This window comes from Homo sapiens, chromosome 17, assembly GCF_000001405.40.
Source record: "Homo sapiens chromosome 17, GRCh38.p14 Primary Assembly".
NCBI classification, from domain to species: domain Eukaryota; kingdom Metazoa; phylum Chordata; class Mammalia; order Primates; family Hominidae; genus Homo; species Homo sapiens.
The window spans coordinates 20,001,627-20,018,466 of NC_000017.11; the positions used below are offsets into that span (position 1 = coordinate 20,001,627).

The 16,840-nt window shown below is 44.2% G+C and overlaps 1 protein-coding gene and 1 long non-coding RNA gene across 19 annotated transcripts in view, besides 3 other annotated features; one reads left to right on the top strand and one right to left on the bottom strand.

Annotated features, from left to right (window-relative positions):
• SPECC1-DT (SPECC1 divergent transcript) lies at positions 6,429-7,634 on the bottom strand. Its single transcript, NR_186461.1, has one exon. It is a non-coding gene; the product is annotated as an SPECC1 divergent transcript (long non-coding RNA).
• Positions 6,535-7,102: an enhancer, noted in NCBI's record as "H3K4me1 hESC enhancer chr17:19911474-19912041 (GRCh37/hg19 assembly coordinates)". NCBI's record gives its function as "activates a minimal SCP1, AML or CMV promoter by ChIP-STARR-seq in primed H9 embryonic stem cells {active_cell/tissue: H9 hESC(primed)}" and the evidence as "EXISTENCE:reporter gene assay evidence [ECO:0000049][PMID:30033119]".
• Positions 7,535-8,204: a silencer, noted in NCBI's record as "silent region_8303". NCBI's record gives its function as "represses an Ori minimal core promoter by ATAC-STARR-seq in GM12878 lymphoblastoid cells {active_cell/tissue: GM12878}" and the evidence as "EXISTENCE:reporter gene assay evidence [ECO:0000049][PMID:35858748]".
• Positions 7,733-16,840, top strand: part of SPECC1 (sperm antigen with calponin homology and coiled-coil domains 1) — a 309,668-nt gene continuing 300,560 nt past the window's right edge. For 7 of the 18 annotated variants that reach the window (XM_017025319.2, NM_001243439.2, NM_001386080.1 and 4 more), the window contains exon 1: positions 7,733-7,798. The gene's annotated coding sequence lies outside the window, so the exon portion shown is untranslated. Of the gene's footprint in view, positions 7,799-8,536; positions 8,592-8,894; positions 9,027-15,518; positions 15,980-16,360; positions 16,477-16,840 lie in introns of those variants that run through there. The other 11 variants (NM_001386083.2, NM_001386078.2, XM_047437065.1 and 8 more) reach the window with 6 other exon arrangements.
• Positions 8,225-8,404: a silencer, noted in NCBI's record as "silent region_8304". NCBI's record gives its function as "represses an Ori minimal core promoter by ATAC-STARR-seq in GM12878 lymphoblastoid cells {active_cell/tissue: GM12878}" and the evidence as "EXISTENCE:reporter gene assay evidence [ECO:0000049][PMID:35858748]".

The window sequence follows — 16,840 nt, forward strand, 5'->3', positions numbered from 1 at the left end:
GATTCTCCTGCCTCAGCCTCTGAGTAGCTGGGATTACAGGCACCCACCACCACGCCCAGCTAATTTTTGTATTTGTAGAAGAGACGAGGTTTCACCATGTAGGCCAGGCTGGTCTCAAACCCCTGACCTCAGGTGATCCACCTGCCTCAGCCTCCCAAAGTGCTGGGATTACAGGCATGAGCCACCGCGCCTAGCTAATTTTTTGTATTTTTAGTAGAGACAGGGTTTCACCATGTTAGCCAGGATGGTCTCGATCTCCTGACCTCATGATCCACTTGATTCGGACTCCCAGAGTGTTGGGATTACAGGTGTTAGCCACCACACCCGGCCTCTTTCTTATTTTCAAGCAAATTCACACACAGTAATACATTTTCCTTTGAGTCGCTTTTTGCCAACATCTCGAAGGGTTTGAGAGATACTTTTCATGTTGAAATTTCTTTCTCTCTCTCTTTTTTTTTTTTTTTTTCAAATAAATAGAGACAGGGTCTGTCTCTGTCACCCATGCTGGTCCTGAACTCCTGGGCCCAAGTGATCCTCCCACGCCTCAGCCTCCTGAAGTGCTGAGATTACAGGCGTGAGCCATTGTGCCCGGCCTCATGTTGAAATTTCTATCTAGGTGGGGTGCGGTGGCTCACGCCTGTAATCTGAGCACTTTGGGAGGCTGAAGCAGGTGGATCACTTGAGGTCAGGAGTTTGAGACCAGCCTGGCCAACATGGTGAAACACCATCTCTACTAAAAATATAAAAACTAGCTGGGTCTGGTGGTGGGCGCCTGTAATCCTAGCTACTTGGGAGGCTGAGACAGGAGAATTGCTTGAATCCAGGAGATGGAGGTTGCGGTGAGCTGACATAGTCCCACTGCACTCCAGCCTCTGCGACAGAGTGAGACTCCGTCTCAAAAAAAAACACCAAAATTTCTATCTAAAGAGTTTGTAATTTTTTTTTTTTTGAGATGGAGTCTCGCTTTGTCACCCAGGCCGAAGTGCAGTGGCACGATTTTGGCTCACTGCAATCTTCGTCTCCCTGGGTTCAGTGATTCTCCTGCCTCAGCCTCCCAAGTGGCTGGATTACAGGCACACATCACTATGCCTGGCTAATTTTTGTATTTTTAGTGGAAACGGGGTTTCACCATATTGGCCAGGCTGGTCTCGAATTCCTGACCTTGTGATCTGCCCGCCTTGGCCTCCCAAAGTGCTGGGATTACAGGCGTGAGCCACCGCCTAGACTTTGTAATTTTGATGTTTATTTCCTCTTTCCTCTCTGACTTGAGTACTTTATTTTGTTAAGTTGTGGTTAATTTCTAATTTTATTTTATTGGGGGTCAGTGAGTATGGTCTGTGAGATTGTTGCTTTTTGGTATTTTTTGAGATTTTTTGGATTTTCTTTCTAATTTTTTGGAGATTTTTTTGGTCTAATATTTGGGAATGCATATAGCACTGTAAACTTATCCTCTAAACATATAGCAATGAAATATAAAAAAAGCAAAATTGGCTGGGCACAGTGGCTCACGCCTGTAATCTCAGCACTTTGGGAGGCCGAGATGGGCAGATCACGAGGTCAGGAATTCAAGACCAGCCTGGCCAACATGGTGAAACCCTGTCTCTACTAAAAGATAAAAAAAATTAGCTGGGCGTGGTGGTGCCTGTCTGTAATCACAGCTACTTGGGAGGCTGAGGCAGATGAATCGCTTGAACCCAGGAGGCGGAGGTTGCAGTGAGCCGAGATGGCGTCATTGCACCACAGCCTGGGTGACAGGGCAAGACTCCATCTCAAAAAAAAAATTAAAAAACAGCAAAATTTACTTTGTAAGTAGACTCAAAGACATGAAATGTATCTCCATGGACTAAGATATAGGGACAGAAATGCAAAGTGGGGAGTTGGCCTGAAGAGGTTAAAGCTCTGGACTCCAAGTCTGGAATCAGGTAGGGAATGCTGGGAGTTTGACTCTGGGTAATAGGAACTGAAACAGCCCACGGAAGACGGCAGTAGACCTGAGGCAGGATTCCTGGTTACGCTTTTAGGGAGTGGGAGGGTGGGGAACTGAGCTAAGTATAGTGACTGAAGGGGTCCCAGAGACCCGGTGGAGAGAACGGTAGCATTGCTGGGCAGGGCGGATCAAGGCTGCCCAGTTGAAATAAGCCTGCAAATAGAAACTCCAAATTCAACAATCCAAAGACAAGCACACTATAAGTAGGGTGACCGTATCTCCTGCTTTCCCAGAAATAATCTCAGTGCACAATGCTAGTCCCAGCATCATACTACTGTCAGCCTCTTTCATTCTTACAGTATCCTGGTTTGGATGATCAATTACATGGTCACCTAACATATGAAATTAAAGTAGTAGAACAAGGCTGGGCATGGTGGCTCATGCTTATAATCCTAGTAATTTGGGAGGCTGAGGTAGGAGGATTACTTGAGGCCAGGAGTAGGAGGCCAGCCTGGGCAACATATGGAGACCCTGTCTCTACAAAAAAATTAAAATTAACTGGGCATGGTGGCATGTGCCTGTAGTCCCAGCTACTCAGGAGGCTGAGGCAGGAGGATCACTTGAGCCCAGGATTTGGAGGTTATAGTCAGCCATGATTGCACCACCGCACTCCAGCCTGGTCAACAAAGCGAGACTCTGTCTCTAAAAAAATTAAAAAGTGGCAGGTGCCTGTAATCCCAGCTACTCGGGAGGCTGAGGCAGGAGAATTGCTTGAACCCGGGAGACGGAGGTTGCAGTGACCTGAGATCGCGCCACTGCACTCCAGCCTCCAGAAGTGACACAGCGAGACTCCATCTCAAACATAAAAATAAAATAAAATAAAATAAAATAAACAGTCTGAAGAAAAGAATTGAAAATGGACTTCTTGTGTAGATATGGGGATCTTACAAATTACCCAAGAGTACCAAGAAATATAAGAAACACAAACATAAGCACTATCTTTATTAAAACTACAGATTAAAACTCCAAACCATGCCAGGCGCGGTGGCTCACGCCTGTAATCTCAGCACTTTGGGAGGCTGAGGCAGGTGGATTACCTGAGGTCAGGAGTTCAAGACCACCCTGGCCAACATGGTGAAACCCCATCTCTACTAAAAATACAAAAATTAGCCGGGTGTGGTGGCACGCGCCTGTAATCCCAGCTACTCAGTAGGCTGAGGCAGGAGAATCGCTCAAACCTGGGAGACAGAGGTTGCAGTGAGCTGAGATTATGCCACTGCTCTCCAGCCTGGGTGACAGAGTAAGACTCTGTCAAAAACAAAAAACAAAAACCAAAAAACTCCAAATCATAAACCAGGTGGAGGCTGACAGAGGTACTTGAGATTAAGCAGGAGAAAACCAGAGCTCTTGTGAAGAACCAGCCGAGCTCACTAGCAAGATGGGGGCTGACCTGGGAATAGGGTGCTTTACACATCTTAGAAGAACACTGAAATAACGTATTAGAACAAATGTTTTCAACTTCAGAAAAATTACCAGATAGAAAGAGGAATTGAGGCTGGGCATGGTGGCTCACGCCTGTAATCCCAGCACTTTGGGAGGCTGAGGCAGGTGGATCACTTGAGGTTAGGCGTTCAAGACCAGCCTGGCCAACATGGTGAAACCCTGTCTCTACTAAAAAGACAAAAATTAGCCAGGCATGGTGCCACGCGCCTGTAGTCCCAGCTACTTGGGAGGCTGAGGCAGGAGAATTGCTTGAACCCGTGAGGCAGAGGTTGCAGTAAGCTGAGATTGCAGTGAGACTCTGTCTCAAAAAAAAAAAAAAAATTAAATCTATAGAGTCAATCTATTGTGTCCCAGGAAATATTGGCCCAGAATAATAATTCCAAAATGTATAACAGTGAGATTTCTGGATTTCATAGACAAAGAGATAATTCTTGGAGCATCATGGCAATTACTTCACTTCTTTGTTTTTTTTTTGTTTTTTTGAGACGGAGTCTCACTCTGTCGCCCAGGCTGGAGTGCAGTGGCGCGATCTCAGCTCTCTGCAAGCTCCTCCTCCCAGGTTCACGCCATTCTCCTGCCTCAGCCTCCCGGGTAGCTGGGATTACAGGCGTCCACCACCATGCCCAGCTAACTTTTTGTACTTTTAGTAGAGCCGGGGTTTCACCATGTTAGCCAGGATGGTCTCAATCTCCTGACCTCGTGATCCACCTGTCTCGGCCTCCCAAAGTGTTGGGATTACAGGCATGAGCCACGGTGTCCGGCCGGCAATTACCTCATTTCTGAGGAAAAATAAACCAGGCTGACTTCTGGTTTCATTACAGCAACACTCAATTCTAGAAGACAATACTTATACATTCTTCAATAAATAAAGTATAACCCAAGAATTTATACTCAAACTTTTACAGGATAAAGGCAACAAATATTTTTAAACATGAAAAACTCAGGGAATATAATTTTCATAAGTTATTATTGTTATTTTAAAGAGATAGGTTCTCACTTTCTTGCCCAGACTGGGGTGCAGTGGCACAATCAGAGGTCACTGCAGCCTCAAACTTCTGGGCTCTAGCAATCCTCTTGCCTCAGCCTCCTGAGTAGCTGGGACTATAGGCACACGCCACTACGTCTGGCTAAATTTTAAAATTTTTTGTAGAGACAAGGTCTCACTATGTTGCTCAGGGTGGTCTTGAACTGCTGGCTTCAAGCGATCCTTCTACCTCTTGTCTCCCAAAGTGCTGGGATTACAAACGTGAGCCACCACACTCTGCTCTATAAATTATTCTTAAGAAACTAAAGCAGGATCATAACTTACCACAAAATGGGTTGGGGAAAAAACTATGGCAAAATAACTGTTAATAATACTTCTGAATCTTTTAACTGTAGGAGTGGAACTAAAACAAACGTGGGATTATGGTTACACAGCAGAATGTATGATTTTATAAACCTACTAACGTGGAAATGGTATAATTAACATCTTTTATATCTAGGAATCCAAATATCTCATTCAAAGCTGATTTAAAAATCAAGTGATAAAGATATTTATAAATGTAGTTAATTAAAAAAGCAAATACTAAAGAAGGATAAAATCATTTACATTAGGTGAGGAGAAGAAAAGGGGTAAAGAAAAAAGAGGGAAATTACAATGTCATTTTTATTCAGAATAGGGAGTTAACAGACAGTCTGAAGAAACTGAGGACGATGTGTATTGCGGAGTATGATTATAAGGCAACTCCCTGAATAAAAATACAAACCTTCCAAATTATCAGAAGAAACACAAAACACAATAAACACAAAATATGCAATGCAAGAGTGAAAAAAGGACCAAAAGGGCTATGAAACAGCATAATATAGCTGTCACATGAATAGGGCTCAACTCATCTATGGCAAGATAAAGATTTTCAGATTTAATCACAAAGCAAAACTTAGTGCTCTAATTCAAGGGATTACCTAAAATAAAGGGTTCAGAAAAGACGAAAACAGCAAAGGTTGTTTGGGGTAACAAACAAAATTCAGCAGGATGGTAAAATATCAGACAAAGTTAAATTCAGGGCAAAGTTTGAACACATTAAATGAGACAAGGAAGGTCATTTTATGATGAAGTGGGAAAATTCCCAAGAATATAAGACAAATGAATATTTATGCACAAATAACATGGTACTATTTATAAAGCAGGACTTCAGAGAAATAAGGAGAAATAAAAACACAATAGTAACAAAAGATTCTAATTTACCTTCTTCCGATTACGTTAGATCAAAATACGTCTAAAAAATAAAGGAGAAAAAATATTTTAAAAAGAAGAAGAAAAAAGCTCCAGTATAACCAAAAACATAAACCTAAGAGCTGATTCTTTGAAAAAAAAATACACTTTTAAAAGTTAACAAAATAAAGAAGCAAAAATACACAAAATAAGATATTTGGGAGAAGTTAAAAGATTCACAAAAGACTACTTTCCTCAACTTTATGCAAATACACTTGAACATCTGGAAAAAAAGGATAATTTGTTTTAAGAAATACATGCTTTATCAAAATTAACTCTAGAATAATTTTTAAAATGTAAATAATAAAATTGCCACAGAAGAAACTTTTCTAGCCTTAAAAGATTTACCCTCCCCAAAGAAAGCATCAGGCTGGGAGGAACATTTTTAACTGGGAAATGATCAAACCTCAAAGAATAGATAATTTTAATGCTCCTTAAATTGTTCAGAGTAAAAGGAAAAAGCAAACATGCCCATTTTTTTTTCTTTTTTTTTTTTTGTAGAGATGGGGGGGTCTCACTGTGTTTCCTAGACTGGTCTCGAACTTCTGGCCTCAAGCACTCCTCCTGCCTCGGTTCCAAATTTTTTATGATGTGAGCATAACATTGATTCTGAAACCAAACAACATTAGACATTCAAAAAGAAAATTATTGCCCATCTCATTTTTGCATATCAATGCAAAGCCTGTAAATAAAATATTAGCAAACAGAATCAAGCAGTATATTTAAAAAAAAAAGACAAGTTTATTGCAGGGATAAACTGGGTTTTTATTAGGAATTTATTATAACTAGGACTCATTACTTCAATATGAGGAAATCAGCTGTCACCCGGTTTGCTCGTCCTTACAGACATCTCCCTCCTCTTCCTCTCTTCCTTTCCAGTGAAAATGTCTTCAAGTTTCCTCTACCAAACCAAAACTTCACCCCACTTCTTTTATTCTTTCCTCCTCTCTTCTCAGAACAAAGGGGTTGTTGCTGACCAGCCCAGGGTTTCTTATTTGGGGCCGGATCATTCTTCCTTGTGGGGCAGTCCTGTCCTTCAGGTAGGATGTTGAGGAGCACCCTCGTGTCTACCCACTTAGGCAACAGTAGCAACTCCCGCATCATGACAACCAAAAATGTCTCCAGACCTCCCCAAATGTACGCGGGGCGGCGAGGAGGGGCAACACCGGCCCTGGTCGAGAACCGCTAGCCTAGGCTCGCCCCTCTACCTGGGCGCCACAACTTGCCAGGGTTGGTTATTCTCCCTGGATCCTTTCCTTCCTCCTCATTTGAGCTTCACGCCCTCAAGTATGACCAAAGGTTCTGTCATTCCACTCCTGCAGTTTTCATTAAGGTCTTAGGCCACTTCCATGTCAAGAAACACAGTGGCTCTTTCTAACCCCTGGCCATGAGGCACCCCTGGAGGAGGAGCCGTGAGGGTAGGGAAGATGCTGAGGGGGATGTTGACCTTGCCGACTTCCAGGCGCCTCCGCTGCATCCCGGAGGAGGCGTTGGGCGGTGAGGGTGCAGCGGGGGGGCGGGCCCCGCAGGATGAGGTGTCCGTGTGCGGCTAGCGCCACAGGCAAGACCGGGCTCCTTGCGGGGCGGAGGTGAGGCCGTGAGCATAGCTCTCAAACTGGAGGGCGCCTCAGAATCACTTGACGGGCTTGCGAGAATGTGGACTGCTGGGCCCCACCTTCATGGTTTTAGTGCAGGAAAAACCGAATAGGCTGGGTGGGACGGAGAATCTGCATTTTCTCAAGTTCCCAGATGAGGCTGAAGCTGCTGGTCCGGGCACCACCCTTAGAAAACCTCCAGTGTAGAGTGCGGAAATGGGGTCCACATCTGGCTTGGGACGCCCAAACATCGATTATGTGCGACCAGAGGATGAGCAGATAGGGAGATGAGACACTGAGAGCTGGGAGAGAGGGGGCCCCCGGCCGCCGGCTGAAGGAGGACGGCGCAGGCGGCGGTCCGGGTACTACATCTCCCAGCGAGCCCCGCGCGGCTCGCGCTCGCCCCCTGGCGGCGATGGCTGGAGGCGCCGGCGGAGCGCGGGTCCCTCTCCTGAGCATCAGTGAGCGCCCGGAGCCGTGGCCGCTGGGGGTTGCGGCGGCGCTGAGCCAGCGGGGCCGGTGAGTACTAGCCGCGCCGCCAGCCCGCCCGCCGGCCGGCTCTTTGCGCCTCAGCCGCGTGGTCTGAAGGGATGGGCGGGCGAGCGCGGGGGTCCGGCAGTCCGTCGTGGGGGCACGGGACTGCCTTTCTGGGAAGGCGTGCTGCGTCTTCGCCGCGGGGGCCCCGGTCCCCTCGTCGCGTGTCCTGTCCCCAGCCCAGGAGGGACGTCCTGGCCTGTCCTGCCCGGCCCGGAGCGGTGGGACCGGTGCCGCAGGTGGCAGCGGCAGGTGGCCGCCTCCTCCCCTCCGGGCCCGAGGGTTGTCGCAGGGACCCGGGACTGAGAGCCAGGTGGCTCCCGACAGCTGCGGCCCTGGAGGCGACCCCAGCCCTCGCCGCAGTGGGACAGGTGCGCGGGCACGCCCGGCCCCGGCTCCTGGGTCTCGGGAGCCTCCCGCACCCTCCCTGTTGTGCCTTGGGGGTGCTGCGTGGTGCAGAGGACCGAGAAGCCCTTCGCCCTCGGCGTCCGCCGCGCTCCCGCCCCTTCCTGGCCGGGGTGACAGGGGAAGGGCTAGGGCTGCGCATCCCGGGTCAGCTGGGGCGCCGCGGCGCAGTGCACCTGGAAGGCCCGGGGGCAGCGCGCGGTGCCCGTGGGTTTCCCGGTGGTGCGGACCTGCGGGCGTGCGGAAGTAACGACCTCCTTCCCCAGTGCCCATGCAAGGAAATTAGTGTTATGTGCTTGCTTTTTTTTTTTTTTTTTCCTAAGGAAGTTTGACTCTGAATATCTTATTTTGCTGGAGCTCCATTTGCCAGCACGTAAGTTTATGTAATAAGCGGCATACAGTTCGGAAAAAAATTTTCCTGTGAAAGTGCTCTTCCTTGCCCTCTGCAGGAAGAATTACGCCGAGCTGGTTGGCAGGCTTATCCACCAGCAACTGTAGGAGCTGCAGGCAGCAGATAAAGTGTTTTTTGAGTAAGGGCACAAGTCAGCCCTTCAGGACAATTTTTGTTTTTGGAAGATTCTGTTATCCAGTTCCAAACACCGTGTTATTTCAGTGTTGAAGATGGGGGAGGAGGGAGGAGCACAGGCTTGTCAATCCTAATACCTCAACAGAAATTAGCTTTGCAGGATTAACTCTCCAAGCAAGCGAGTTGAATTTGGTAGCCCAAACTACAGCTGAAGCTGAGCCTCCATACTAAAGCCTGTCTCAGTTTTAATAGTTTTTCGCTTGATTCGTTTGCCTCTTCCAAGTAGGTGATCTTATTGTCTGTTAAACAACAGATGTCTCTCATGTTTTTACTTTTTTCCTTGTCTTCCATAGATTACTCTCGCTGCAGTGTTGACTATTGAGGTTAAATAGGAATCTTTGTCTTGGGCTTGGTTTTAGGGAGCATTCCCTCTGTATCTTCACCGAGTGTATTCTATCACATTAAGTACATTTCTGTTTATGCCTAATTACTAAGAGTTTAAAAAGTCAAGGGTGGGTGTTGGGTTTTTTGCCCAAATGCTTTTGTGTAGCATGCATTGATATGATCATGTAGATTTTCGTCTTAAAATTGTTAACATAAGTGGTGGTCACATTGCTAGATTTTCTTTCTCTAAAACCCTGGGCTAATTTAAAATGCACTTTTGGATTGTTCACATCAATAAGCTAGCATCTTATTTAGGGTTTTGGTATCTGAGTTTGGCATATAGTTTACCCCATTTTTATCTGTGTTCATAACAAGGATCAGGCTGTCCTCTCTGATTAAATTGGGAAACTTTCCATCATTTTCTATGCTCTGGAATAGAAGAATTATCTGTTCCCTCAAGTTTGGCAGAACTTGACTGCAGACTGCCTGGGCTGCTGCTGGTGTTGTTTAGGCAGTTAATATCAGTATTTAATTACCTTTTCATTTTTTTCATGATCATTTATTTTTCTCAGTTTTTCTGTTTCTTCAAAGTAAATTTAATATTTTCTGTTTTCCTAGAAAATCATTAACATTATTGAAATTTAATATATGCTAGCATAATGTTGTATATAGTATTCTGGTGTAAGAAAACAGACTCTTACATATCTGTATGTATCTGTATGTTCTCTTTCTGATACAGTACTTTTTTTGGTACCTTTTCTCTTTTTTTTTGATCAGACTTGCTTAATGATTATTTTATTAATCCTTTCAAAGAACCAGCTTTTATTAACCAGGATTTATTGATTAATTCTATTGATTTTTTATTTTTCTATGACATTAATTTCTGTTTTTTATCTTTCTACTTAATTTGAGTTTATTTTGTTCAAGTTTTAACTGTTTGAATGGAAAACCTGGCTCATTTATTTAATCAGTCCTGTGAACAAGGCAAGGACTTCTAATTCTTTCATTCCACTTACCTCACATTTGGCCTTAATTGTATTTTTACTTCAACCCTTCCAACGAGACATTATTGCTATTGTTTTTGTTATTTTCTAGGTCAACATTTATTAGCTTTATCTACCTGTTTACCATTTCTTCACTTTCCATTCCTTCTTGTATCACAGATACTTTTCTTTGGAACATTTTTCTTCTCCCTCAAGTACATTCTTTAGAAATTACTTCAGCAATGATCAATTTTCTGTTTTTGTAATATCTGAAAATGCCTTTATTCTCCCTGTATTCTAGAATTTTGGTTTCACCATGTGTCTTCTATTGATTTCAGAGTTATTTTTGTATTTTTTTATATTTTTAAAAAGATGTTTTGTAGCTGGAAGGTTTTTAGGATCTCTATTCTGCCACAGTGCTGAAAGAAAAACAAAGATTAAGAACAGATTAATTTGCAGTCCACTGTCAGTCACGACTGTTCCCTGAACTCTTAGTATATTGGGTATACAGTTCTATATTAATCTCAAGTTTATTGATGGTAATTCAGGTTTTCTGCATCCTTAACTTATTTTTTTTCTCTGTTTGACCTGTTGATATGGAGAGTTGTATTGAAGACTCCCATTATGATTCTTGTAGGGGTTTTTGTACTATTTCTATGTTTAATATATATTTTTCTTTAAATGTTGTATTTTTGAAGCTGTTTTATGTGCTTAAAGGTTCACAATTCTTGTATCTTCTTGGTGAATTGTACCTTTTGGGAATAAACGAGCCATCTTATTTAATTTTTTTTTTGTTCATTCTCTTTATATTGCTGTACTTGCTTTTTGTTAGCATTTATATGGAATATCTTTTTCTAGTCACTGATTTTCAATTTTCTGTGTCTTCTTTAATTGTTACTCTTACCATTAGCTTATGGCTGGATTTTGTTTAATTAGTTAATCTTTGTCTTTTAATAAATATTGTGGTAAAATAACATAAAATTTATTATTTATTATTTTTATTTTTACCATTTACTACTTTTAAGTTTACAGTTCCCCAGTGTTAAGTGTGTGCACATTGTTATGCAACCAATCTCCAGAATTTTTTCATCTTACAAAATTGAAGCTCTGTATCCATTACCGCAGCCCCTGGCAACCACCATTCTGCTTTTTGTCTCTATGAATTTGCCTATTTTAGGTACCTTGCATGAGTATCTAATATAGTACCTCATATAGTATTTGTCTTTTTATAACTGGCTTATTTCATTTAATGTAATGCCCTCAAGGTTCATCCATGTTGTAGCATGTGTCAGAATTTTCTTCATTTTTATTGCTAATTAATATTCCATTGAATGTATACACCACATTTTGCTTATCCATATATTTATCAAAGGATATTTATGTTGGTTCCACATCATAGCTATTATGAATAATGCTGCCATGATCATGGGTGTACAAATATCTCTTCAAGACCCTGCTTTCAGTTATTTGGGTATATACCCAGAAGTAGAATTGTTGGATCAAGTAGTACTTCTATTTTTAATTTTTTGATGACCCAGCATAGTGTTTTCCGCAGAGGCTGAACCATTTTATATTCTCACCAGCAATGCGTGAGAATTTCAGTTTCCATACATCCTTGCTAACATCTGTTATTCTCTCTCTTTTTTTGATAGTAGCTATCCTTATGGGTGTGAAATCTTTGTCTTTTAATAGGTAGCTTTAGCCCATTTATATTTATTTTGATTACTGATCTTTTGCGGATTATTCCTGTCATCTTATTTTATATTTTTGATTTCCTTTTTTGAGACGGAGTCTTGCTCTATCGTCCAGGCTGGAGTGCAGTGGCACGATCTCCGCTCACTGCGACCTCCGGCTTTCGGGTTCAAACGATTCTCCCAACCCAGCCTCCCGAGTAGCTGGAATTACAGGCCTGCAACCACTATGCCCGGCTAATTTTTGTGTTTTTAGTGGGGACAGGTTTTAACCGTGTTGGCCAGGCTAGTCTCAAATTTCTGACCTCAAGTGATCTGCCTGCCTTACCCGCCCAAAGTGCTGAGATTACAGGCATGAACCACTGTGCCGAGCTGGTTCATTTCATTCTCATTGCTGTGTATATGCCATTGTATATATCCCTAATATAGATATACATTTGACTTTGATTGGCAGTTGGTTGTTTGCATTTTTGGACTATTATGAATAGTAAGTACATGAACACTCTAGTACACGTCTTTTGTTGAGTGAGTGTGTGCATTTCTGTTGAGTGTGTATCTGGGAGTGGAACTGCTTGGTTGTAGTCTGTGCATGTGCTCGGTTTTAGTAGATACTAGCAAACAGTTTTCAGTACCGGTTGCACCAACTTATTTACCCCAGAAGTATATGTGGTTGCTCCACATTCTTGCCAACTCTTGGTAATTTCTGTCTTTTACCTTTTAGTTATTCTGGTGGATACTGTGGTTTTAATTTGGATTTTCCTGATGATAAATGAATTTGCACTGTTTTGGTACCCTTAGTTTTTCACACATATCTAAACATTTTTTTCTCTTGCTATTAAAAGATAATCTGTTTATGTGAACTCTCCATGAGTAAAGCAAAAAAGAATCTTATCATGATTTTAATTCTGTCCCATATTAAATTTTTGGGTTTTCATACATTATGCATAAACAGTTATTTAGGTAAACTGTAAATTTTTCTGATTATTTACTCATCATTGGTGCTTTTATTTCATTTGTTTTCTTAATGAGTCCTTAAGTGATTATTTGGTTTTGTTTTCAGGGATTCTGTGAATGGTAAACTTTCTGAACCCTTGCATGTTTAAACAATGTTTTTTATTTCACTTTTCCATGTGAATATTCTTGACTGGGTATAGGATTCTACGTTAAAACCTTCTGAATTTTGGAGATATTGCTTTATCTGCTGGTATCTAGGAAGAAGTGCACGCGTCTGACTCTCGTTTCTTTGTAGTTAATGTTTATTTTCTCTGAAGCTTTACAATTTTTTTTCTTTCTCCTTGGTGTTCTAAAATTTAACTATTATTTGTCTAGGAGTGGATTTTTTTTTTGAGATGGAATCTTGCTCTGTCACCCAGGCTGGGAGTGTGGCATGATCTCGGCTCACTACAACCTCCACCTCCTGGTTTCAAGTGATTCTCCTGCCTTAGCCTCCCAAGTAGTTGGGATTACAGATGTGCACCACCATACCCAGCTAATGTTTGTATTTTTAGTACAGACAGGGTTTCACCATGTTGGCCTGACTGATCTCAAACTCCTGACCTCAGGTGATCCACCTGCCTCGGCCTCCCAAAGTGCTGGGATTACAGGCATGAGCCACTGCGCTTGGGCACCACACTGGCTTAAGAGTGGATCTCTTTTGTTCTTCCTGCTCAGCATTTGGTAGTCCGTTTCATTCTAAAGATTAATACACATTTCTATGGCACTGGAGAAGTTTTGAGTGTTTCCTTGCCTCTATTCTATTTTCTGCTTCTGGAATTATTCTTACTTGGGAATTAGAATATCTTGATTTATCTTTCATGTTTCTTGAAATAAGCATTTTTTTCTCTCAAATATTCTGTCTTTTTTAATTTAATTTTTTTTTTTTTTGAGACAGAGTATTGCTGTGTTGCCCAGGCCTGGAGTGCAATGGTGTGGTTCAATGTGACCTGCAACTCTTGGACTCAGGCAATTCCCCTGCCATACCACTGTGCCCAGCGGAAATGCTCTCTTTATCTTTATGGGCTGCATTCTGGGATGTTCCTTGGGCTGGTTTTGCAGGTCACCAATCTAATATTTAGATTTGTTCCGTCAACTCTTTAGCCCATCTCTTGAGTGTTTTTAAATATTGATTATCATATTTTTAACTTTCCGGGTCTCTATTTTTTTTTTTTTTTTTTGAGGTGGAGTCTCGCTCTGTCGCCCAGGCTGGAAGGCAATGGCACTATCTCGGCTCACTGCAAGCTCTGCCTCCCAGGTTCACGCCATTCTCCTGCCTCAGCCTCCCCAGTAGCGAGGACTGCCGGTGCCCACCACCACGCCCGGCTAATTTTTTGTATTTTTAGTAGCGACGGGGTTTCACTGTGTTAACCAGGATGATCTCGATCTCCTGACCTCGTGATCCGCCCGCCTCGGCCTCCCAAAGTGCTGGGGTTACAGGCGTGAGCCACCACGCCTGGCCACGGGTTTCTACTTCTTAAAGTTTAACTTTTGAAATAGGTAAGATAGGCAGGGCGCAGTGGCTCACGTCTGTAATCCCAGCACTTTGGGAGGCCGAGGCGGATGGATCACGAGGTCAGGAGATTGAGACCATCTGGCTAACATGGTGAAACTCCGCTTCTACTAAAAAAAAAATAAAATAAAAAATTAGCTGGGCGTGGTGGCGATTGCCTGTAGTCCCAGCTACTCAGGAGGTTGAGGCAGGAGAATGGTGTGAACCCGGGAGGCGGAGCTTGCAGTGAGCCAGGATGGCACCACTGCACTCCAGTCTGGGCGACAGAGAGCGACTCCATCTCAAAAAAAAAAAAAAAAAATAGGTAAGATAATCAGTGTTCAAAACCAGACTGTATTAAAAAGGCATAAATGAAAGTGAGAGGTGACAGCGTGCTGGCAGTCCTCGCTCGCTCTCGGTGCCTCCTCAGCCTTAGTGCCCACTCTGGCCGCGCTTGAGGAGCCCTTCAGCCCACCGCTGCACTGTGGGAGCCCCTTTCTGGGCTGGCCAAGGCTGGAGCCAGCTCCCTCAGCTTTGCAGGGAGGTGTGGAGGGAGAGGCGCGGGCGGGAACCGGGGCTGTACGCGGTGCTTGCGGGCCAGCGTGAGTTCCCGGTGGGCGTGGGCTTGGCGGGCCCCGCACTGGGAGCGGCCGGCCAGCCGGCCCCAACGGCCCCAGGCAGTGAGGGGCTTAGCACCTGGGCCAGCAGCTGCTGTGCCCGATTTCTCGCTGGGCCTTAGCTGCCTCCCTGCGGGGCAGCGCTCATGACCTGCGGCCCGCCATGCCTGAGCCACCCCCACCTCCTGGGCTCCTGTGCGGCCCGAGCCTCCCTGACAGCACCACCCCCTGCTCCACGGCGCCCAGTCCCATCGACCACCAGAGGGCTGAGGAGTGCGGGCGCAGGGCGCGGGACTGGCAGGCAGCTCCACCTGTGGCACTGATGCCGGATCCACTGGGTGAAGCCAGCTGGGCTCCTGAGTCTGGTGGGGACTTGAGAACCTTTATGTCTAGCTAAGGGATTGTAAATACACCAGTCAGCACCCTGTGTCTAGCTCAGGGATTGTAAACGCACCAATCAGCACTCTGTCAAAATGGACCAATCAGCTCTCTGAAAAATGGACCAATCGGTTCTCTGTAAAATGGAGCAGTCGGCTCTCTGTAAAATGGACCAATCAGCAGGATATGGGTGTGGCCAGATAAGAGAATAAAAGCAGGCTGCCCGAGCCAAGAGTGGTAACGTGCTGCGGTCGCATTCCGCGCTGCTGAAGGTTTGTCCTTTTGATGTTTGGAATGCGTTCTTATTACTGCTCACTCTTTGGGTCTGCACTGTCTATATGAGCTGCAACACACACCTCGAAGGTCTGCAGCTTCACTCCTGAAGCTAGCGAGACCACGAACTCACCAGGAGGAACGAACAACTCTAGATGCGCCCCCTTAAGAGCTGTAACACTCGCCGCGAAGGTCTGCAGCTTCACTCCTGAGTCAGCGAGACTACGAACCCACCAGAAGGAAGAAACTCCGAACACATCCAAACATCAGAAGGAACAAACTCCAGACACACCGCCTTTAAGAACTGTTACGCTCACCGCGAGGGTCCACGGCTTCATTCTCCAAGTCAGACCAAGAACCCACCAATTCCGGACACAAAAGGTGTTCCCACCATTCCTGTCCTCTTACTTCTCTCGCCTTACAAGTAGGTAACCATTGTTGTTAGTTACTTATGTACCTTCCAAAGTTTCTTCATGCAAATACAAGCAAATATGAATCAGATTCTCCATTTCTCCTTTTTTGCACAAATAGTAGCATTATTCTCTATCTGGTCTTCATCCTGTGTTTTTATTTCTTGGTATATCACAAAGATCGTCACATACCAACTGCTTGCTCTTTATAATGTCCCCTTAGGTCTTCCCAAGAATATCTAATAATTTCTTCTATGTGCTCTAGTAATTATCTTTGCTTGGGTTTGTGTTCTGTTGATTCAGTGTCCCTGTTTCATCATACTGAATAAAAACTTGGTGATTCTTTATGTGTTCATCTTCGAAGTTTGAGAATTCCTTTTTTCCTGTCTTACTAGGCGTAGCGTGCCTCCTGTGATTGTTGAAGAGCTGTGGTGTGCTGCTGAGTGGCGTGTGTATTCCATGTGAGGGGAAGGGTCCAACAGTCCTGGTCATTCAGACTGCAGTTCCCCAGGTAATCACCTTGTCAGGTTCTACCTCTGCTGTTCTATCTGCTGTTACAAGTCTGTTCCTGGAAACCTGTTACCATTTCCTTCTGCATAACAGCCTCCTCCCAAGCTTGTATTGGGCTATGGTTTGCTCAGGTAATCTGGTTCTGAGTACTTTTTACTTTTCAGAAATTTCCTAGACATTTTAGTTGGCCATCGGCACTCTTGTTTTCCAGGTTTCTTTTGATTTAGTGTTTTAAAAATGTTTCTACCATTCCATTGAATTTTAAGACACTTGGAAGGCAGAAGTATGTGTTTAGTTTATTGTTTTGGGGACAGGGTCTTGCTCTGTCTCCCAGGTTAGAGTGCATTGGCGCAGTCATAGGTCAC